Here is an 8,035-nt window from a genome sequence, read left to right as displayed (position 1 = left end):
TACTTGCTGGGCTTTTTCTATGTGCCAGGTTTTGTTCTAGATGCTTTATGTTTACCAGCTCGTTTAATTAACCTTAATTTAATGTAACCTCTTGACAAATATTGGTTGAATGACTTTCATATAAATAAAAAATAAATTTTTAGTTTATACATCTGATACCTGTTTAGTGCTGTGAAGGTTTGGGAGGCTGTTTATTATAATAAAAGCTGAAAGACATTAAACTCAAAGTGATTCCACAAAGTGTTTCTTGTGTGTGCCCAATAAATAAATTTTTCACTTTTTTACATTCTTTTTTATTTGTGGACTCCTAAAACAGATTTTAAGAAACAAGAGAAAGGGCTAGAGACTCCCTAACTACTTAAAGAAATAGAGCAGCATTGCCATTTTAAAATCGGGTGTTAATTTTAATCAAGAAATCTTTGATTAGCAGCTTTCAACTCTAATGGTGGGAGGTTGTCTTTCAAGGAAGTTTTAAGCTGACATCTATGTTGCTGCTGCAGTAACCTACACTTAATTTATTGTCATTTAGTGCAAAAATTGATGAGAACATAACCTTTGTAAGGTTTTTATGTTTTATTGCCTATAAAAGATAAAATATGGGGTAAAAGGAAGTAAAATAGTATTTTGTTAAGTCAGGGGATGGATTTATGTTTTAACTAACTGATAGAATAATCAGAGGGTCATAAAGATCAGAGTATCTGCCTCCTATCTCTTCTCTTTTTATGTGAGCATTCAACAAGCTTCTCTTTGTGGCTGTCAGACCCATGGGAGCTCACCCAAACAGCAGGCCCGCTTTGTCCAAGGGTATTAACTCAACTGTTTAGAGCTAGAATACCAGGAGGCTTCTGTTGCGCACATTAAGCGATTGGGATAAGTCTAAATGAATCAGATACTTGACATGTGCAAATGGGATGTGTGTTCACAAGGGACTGTGGGGTTACATTGTGTCTTGAATGGACAGGCAAAAACAAAGTATGTGAGTTATGTTGAATTTTGCAGGAAACACACAAAGAGACTCTGGTCTTTGGGAATTGCCAGTGACTGTGTTGTAGAGGACGATGCCGGGAAGGCCCAGCCTTGCTAATTTCTCCTCAACACACCCTTCATAGCATTAAAAAAAAAAAAAGGAAAGAAAGATAATAAATTTCAAAGTGATTAGTTTTGATAACGTAGGCCCGTGGTTCTCAAACCTTAGCACGCAGAGGAAGCCCCTTGGAGCACCAGTTAAAACCCAGATTTCTGGGCCCATTTCCAGGATTTCTGATTCAGCAGGTCTTGGGTGGGGCTTGAGAGTTTGTGATATGGTTTTACTGTGTCCCCACTGAAATCTCAACTTGAATCGTATCTCCCAGAATTCTCATGTGTTATGATGGGAGGGACCGAGGGGGAGGTAATTGAATCATGGGGGCCAGTCTTTTCTGTGCTATTGTTGTGATAGAGAATAAGTCTCATCAGATGTGATGGGTTTATTAGGGGTTTCTGCTTTTGCTTATTCCTCATTTTTGCTTGCCGCCGCCATATAAGATGTGCCTTTCATCTCCTGCCATGATTCTGAGGCCTCCCCAGCCATGTGGAACATAAGACCAATTAAACCTCTTTTTGTTACCAGTTTTGGGTATGTCTTTATCAGCAGTGTGAAAATGAACTAATACAGTTTGCATTTGTTTTAAGACAGGGTCTCACTCTGTCATCCAGGCTGGAGTGTAGTGGTGCGATCATGTCTCACTGTGACCTAGAGCTCCTGAGCTCAAGTGATCTCTCCTGCTTCAGCCTCCCAAGCAGCTAAGACTACAGGCGCAAGCCACCAGGCCTGACTAAGTTTTCTGTATTTTTTGTAGAGATGGGGTCTTACTCTTGCCCAGGCTGGTTTCAAACTCCTGGCCTCAAGTGATCCTTCTGCTTGGCCTCCCAAAGTGCTGGGATTACAGGCGTGAGCCACCGTGCCTGGCCCCGAGTTTGCAGTTCTAACAAGCTCCCAGGTGATGCTGTGCTGCTTGTCTAGAGATTGTGCTTTGAGGACCACTGCTCTAGGTACTCATTTACCTACGTCATAGGTGGGTGGACATGCCCCAGGGTGTTGCAGGAGTCCTAGAAAACATCTTCTCAGCTCAGAAGGGTGGGGCTGGGTGAGTCTGTAGGTATTCAGGTGTGTTTCATGTGCAAACAAGCCAGGGCTTGTCCTAAGGATAAATAACTGCTTTAGTCTTTGGAGCTTTCAGTCTAAGATTGGACTGAGGAATAAAATATGCAAGTTAATTTATTTCTGTAAGTGTCCTGTTTGCTTTGTAGGATTTGCTCCCAAAGTAATCTACTTGCTTGGAGCTCCTCAAAGATGCCAATCTGTTTTATTGCTGTGTTCTGGATGCTAAGCACAGTGCCATGCACCGGGCCCTGCTACATGATTTGCAGGACTCAGTGCAAGATGAAAATGTGGGGCTCCTTGTTCAAACATTAGTATGAATCTGAAGATAGAGACAGCAGGGCCCTGTGTGACCGCACAGGTTGTGCCCCATGAAGCTGGCCCTTCTTGTCACCTAGTAAGCAGTTTATTAGCTCTTTTCACCAAAGGATCATTGACCAAAGCTTAACCAAGAGGAATTTTGAAGGACCTCCTGGTTAGATTCCCTCTTTTTTTGGTGGAGGCAAGTGTGATCATTTTAAGTAGCCTTCATAGTTAACCTGGCACCTCTGCATGTGTTTGCCCATTTGCAGCATCCCTGGAAGGGGGGCATTATGATCCCCATTTGACACACGGCTCAGCTGTGACTTGAACACATATAGTGATTTGGACCAGTGTTCTGATGTCTAGTACTTTAAAAAACTTTTGATTTTTAGTTGCCACATTTGTGTCTCAGAGAGGTTTAGCTACATGCTTAAAAACACACAGCCAGAAAACAAGTGAACAAGAATTTGAACTCAATCTTCTAGATCCTACTTGAACATTCTTTCTATTCCCAATCATGGAAGAAAGCAGGTTTGGGGAATGATATGGTTTAGCTGTGTCCCCACCCAAATCTCATCTTGAATTGTATGCCCATAATTCCCATGTGTTGTGGGAGGGACCTGGTGGGAGAAAATTTGAATCATGGGGGCGGTTTCCCCCATACAGTTCTCATGGTAATGAATAAGTCTCATGAGATCAGATGGTTTTATCAGGGGAAACCCCTGCTTGGCTCTCATTCTCTTCGCTTGTCTGCCACCATGTGAGACGTGCCTTTCATCTTCCACCATGATTGTGGGGCCTCCCCAGCCACGTGGAAGTGTAAATCCAATACACCTCTCACTTTTGTGATGCCCAGTCTCTGGTATGTCTTTATCAGCAGTGTGAAAAATGGACCAATGACAGGGAAGGTCATTGATTCTATTGACTGATATTTTTGAGCTCCAAAGCTTAGTATTGATTCCAGTAAATCTAGTTGATGCTTGACCTATTTCTGTCCCTGTATGCTCTTTAGTTCTGAGAACAGATGGCTTCTCAAATATGCCCTGTTCCCAGGAGAGTCTGGCTCCTAAAGTTTGACTACTGATGGCTTGGAAGTTTTCCTCTGAGTTAATCCCCCACTCCCAACATTCTTCACCATTGCGACTCAGTGTTTAGGTTAGGTGAAAATATTTATTTCCTAGAGCACTGGAAATATCTTCTGTTCCCCATTGTCTTGATTTATCTGGATGCACCTGGTGTTCTCTCCCGTTCTCTGTGGGTATGAACATCTTGACCTCTGAGGATGTGAAACCAAGCAGGCATGATAATTATGCTTGGTGGCCAGTTGACAGGCTGTCTGGGTTTGAGTCCTGCTTCTTCCTCTTACTTGCTGATCATGGCCAAGTTCTGGACTTAACCACACTTGAGCTTGTTTCCTGGTCTGTAAAATAGGAATAATGCAGTTAACAGAGGTTTACTGCAATCATTAAAGGACATGACTTATGCAGAGTTCTTTGGTAACAGCATTACTGTGTTCTGGGCTGGCCCCAGGCACAACTAGGTCATGGGTGAAATTTATCTGGTTTAGTGTTCCATGCTTGTTTAATACCCTCTCCTCCCCCTGCCCCATAAATGCTGGCATGTTCCTTTTTCCTGAAGTACACCTGCACTGTAGCACATTCAAGAACTCAAACAAACAACAACAAAAAAATAGTCTTTCCACAATGGGCAGAAGTGGGAGATGTTTCGATGCAGGCTTTCTTTGAGGGAGTGGGGTGCCTGGTAAAAAGAAAATTCTCTTGTAGATAGATGGCCATGTGTCCTGATAGCATGGGGAAATGAATATGTGTGCAACTGTGTGTGTATGCAAGTGTGTAAAGAAGTCATGGGCCTTATCGTTAGAACCTTCCTTCCTCCCCAACGTCCTCAATCTTTCTGCACCCCAATTCTTCAGAGATTTTATTGAATCTATGGCTGGATGGGGATCGGGGAAAATCATTTTACTTTGATCTGCTCACTAGAGCTTCTTAACTTCTCAGTTTCTTTTATTAGTTCCCAGTATTTAGAGTAAATGCAAACGTTTCTTCACCCAAGGTCTCAATATCCTTTTTTCACACCCTGTATTAGTCCCTTCCCATATTGCTATAAAGAAATACCTGAGACTGGGTAACTTATAAGAAAAGAAGTTTAATTGGCTCACAGTTGTGCAGGCTGTACAGAAAGCATGGTGACATCTGCTTCTGGGAGGCCTCAGGGAGCTTTTACTCAAGGTGGAAGGCAAAGCAGGAGCAGATACATCTCACATGGTGATATGGTTTGGATTTATGTGTCTGCCCAAATTTCGTGTCAAACTGTAGGCCCCAGTGTTGGAGCAGGGGCCTGGTGGGAGGTGATTAGATCATGGGGGCGGACTCCCCCCTTGCTGTTCTCATGCTGGTGAGTGAGTTCTCATGAGATCTGGTTGTTTAAAATTGTGTAGTACCTCTCCCATCTCTCTTTTCCTCCTGCTCTGGCCACGTACGACATGCCTCTTTCCTCTTCACCTTCCGCCGTGATTGTAAGTTTCCTAAGGCCTCCCCAGCCGTGCCTCCTGTACAGCCTGCAGAAGGGTGAGCCAATTAAACCTCTTTTCTTTATAATTACCTAGTCTCAGGCAGTTCTTTATAGTAATACAAGAATGGACTAATACACATGGCGAAAGCAGGAACAAAAGAGAGGGAGGGGCGAGGTGCCACATACATTTAAATTACCAAATCTCATGAGAACTCACTCACTATTACAAGGACAGTGCTAAACCAATTCATGGTGTTAAGCCATTCATGAGAAATCCGCCCCCATGATCCAATCACCTCCTACCAGGCCCCACCTCCCACACTGAGGATTACATTTTAATATGTGATTTGAACAGGGACATACAACTAAACTATATTACACCCCAAATTATTTTTATATAGCTAATATGTTAAACATCAAAAAATGACAGGAAGATAGGCATGTCTAATTCCAGCTGCTTTGTCTCCTGATGCTAGTGGGGGAAATGCAGGCTCAGGATCCTTGAGCCTTAGGTACCATGTTAGCACCTGCTTGCTCCCTCCCTTCTGACCTTGCTGTCCCCATGCAGCTGGTGCTGTAGCCCTCCCCATCCCTGCCCATCTTCCCACCAAAAAACAACCCACAGTGCATGGAAACCATTCCGAGTCCTTATAATAGGGATGAGATGCTTTACTTTTTGAAGGAGGGTGAGGTTGAATGATAATAGCTACGTTGCAAGTCCCAAATTGAAATCATCCATCAAAGATTAACTGAAGGATTTACTCGCTCAAAGTGCCTATGAATTCTCCATACTTTCGCATGTATTAAAGATACCTGAGGCCAGGCGCGGTGGCTCAAGCCTGTAATCCCAGCACTTTGGGAGGCCGAGGCAGGCAGATCACGAGGTCAGGAGATCGAGACCATCCTGGCTAACACGGTGAAACCCCATCTGTACTAAAAAATACAAAAAATTAGCCGGGCGTGGGGGCGGGCTCCTGTAGTCCCAGCTACTCCGGAGGCTGAGGCAGGAGAATGGCGTGAACCCAGGAGGCGGAGCTTACAGTGAGCCGAGATCGCGCCACTGCACTCCAGCCTGGGGGACAGAGCGAGACTCCGTCTCAAAAAAAAAAAAAAAAAAAAAAAAAAAAAGAAAGAAAAGAAAAGAAAAGAAATACCTGAAATCAAGACCATAATTTGGTCAATGTAATTTGACAACTCATGAGAAAAACAATTGCATTGTTGTACCCAGTGAGAGCACCACTTCTCTCCTGGTAATGAAGAGGCTTGTGCTATCTCTTCTGTGGTTTGCTGCCCCATGCTCTGGTTGACCCCGGTGATCAAGGATGACATCAATACCTAAGACCAGAAACAACCTAAGAACTGCATTGTTGCTATGGGATTCTGTCTCTTTCCACAGTGTACATACAGAGCTAAATCAGCTGGTGTTTTCCCCTTTAATTTTCCTTCTCTCCACTCTAGGTATAGGCCAATGAGCATCAGAAAGCTAGAAACATCTGTACAGCTTCAATGCCAACTGAGTCATTAGATATGAACTTGGACTCATTATCTCTCTCCTACTTCTTCAGGATGGAGGAAAAACCCTCTTTACCAACATCCCTGCTCCTCCCTCTGAATGAAGACTATTGATCCAAACCAGATTCTTGAAAATCATCCTAGACCCTTTTCTCCTCCTCACCTCCACACCCAACCACTCACTAAATATTGTTGATTGTATCTCAAGTCTCTCTAGACTCTCTCCCTTCCTCGTCCCCACAGTCTCGGCCCTGGTTCAAGCTACCGCATTTCTTATGTGGATTGCAGTGGTTTCCTGTCAGTTCTTTTTGTCTCTGGTCTCACTCTGGATCATCAGTCCTGCCCAAAACTCCTAGAACAGATCAAACATTGCTATGATGGATCAACTTTATTGCTTCCCAGAATCAAGTCCAAAGTCTTCTTTTAGGAAGGAATACAATATTTTTACTAATCTTCCCTTGCCTACCTCTAGCTAGAAACAAGTTAGAAAACATTATTTTAATTTCCCCAAATTTGATATATTCCCTTAACTTTCTGGGCCTTTGTGCAAACCATTTCCTCATTTTCTTTTTACTGTGCTTTGTCTGGATGACTATTCTCACCTTAAGGGTCACCTCCTTTTTGGATTCTTCCCTGAATGCTCCCTCCTTTTGACTTTGTAAAGCACTGGCGACACTATATTGCACCTTTTTTTTTTTTTTTTTTTTGAGACAGAGTTTCGCTCTTCTTGCCCAGGCTGGAGTGCAAGGGGGCGATCTCGGCTCACCACAACCTCTGCCTCCCGAATTCAAGTGATTCTTCTGCCTCAGCGTCCCGACTAGCTGGGATACAGCCATGTGCCACCACGCCCAGCTAATTTTGTATTTTTAGTAGTGATGGGGTTTCTCCATGTTGGTCAGGCTGGTCTCGAACTCCTGACCTCAGGTGATCCACCCGCCTTGGCCTCCCAAAGTGCTGGATTACAGACTTGAGCCACTGTGCCCGGCCTTATTGAACCTATTATTATTATTCTTTAAGTTCTAGGGTACATGTGCACAATGTACAGGTTTGTTACATAGGCATACATGTGCCATGTTGGTTTGCTGCACTCGTCAACTCGTCATTTACATTAGGCATTTCTCCAAATGCTATCCCTCCCCCAGCCCCGCTCTGCCCAACAGGCCCTGGTGTGTGATGTTCCCTGCCCTGTGTCCAAGTGTTCTCATTGTTCAACTCCCAGCTATGAGTGAGAACATGTGGTGTTTGGTTTTCTGTTCTTGCGATAGTTCATTTAGAATGATGGTTTCCAGCTTCATCCATGTCCCTGCAAAGGACGTGAACTCATTCTTTTTTATGGCTGCATAGTGCATAGTATTCCATGGTGTATATGTATTGCACCTATTTTTAACAGGTGCTTGGAGGAAAGGCTCCCACATACCATTATTATTATTGCAATATTTGTATTTTGATTTTCACTTTAGCACACTTTAAACCTATGTTAAACATATCTTAATGAATATAGACATATACAAGAGATTGTTTAAATGTATATGTGCAGTTTAAAAAACC

The 8,035-nt window shown here is 43.3% G+C and overlaps 1 annotated feature.

Annotated features, from left to right (window-relative positions):
- Positions 1,484 to 2,683: an enhancer, noted in NCBI's record as "CDK7 strongly-dependent group 2 enhancer chr15:60608795-60609994 (GRCh37/hg19 assembly coordinates)". NCBI's record gives its function as "activates an origin of replication core promoter dependent on BRD2, BRD4, P300/CBP, MED14 and CDK7 cofactors, with strong dependence on CDK7, by STARR-seq in HCT116 cells {active_cell/tissue: HCT116}" and the evidence as "EXISTENCE:reporter gene assay evidence [ECO:0000049][PMID:35650434]".

The sequence above is a fragment of the Homo sapiens genome, chromosome 15 (assembly GCF_000001405.40).
Source record: "Homo sapiens chromosome 15, GRCh38.p14 Primary Assembly".
Lineage (NCBI taxonomy): Eukaryota > Metazoa > Chordata > Mammalia > Primates > Hominidae > Homo > Homo sapiens.
Note: the sequence above shows the minus strand (reverse complement) of the source record. Positions and strands in the feature narration are given on the sequence as shown.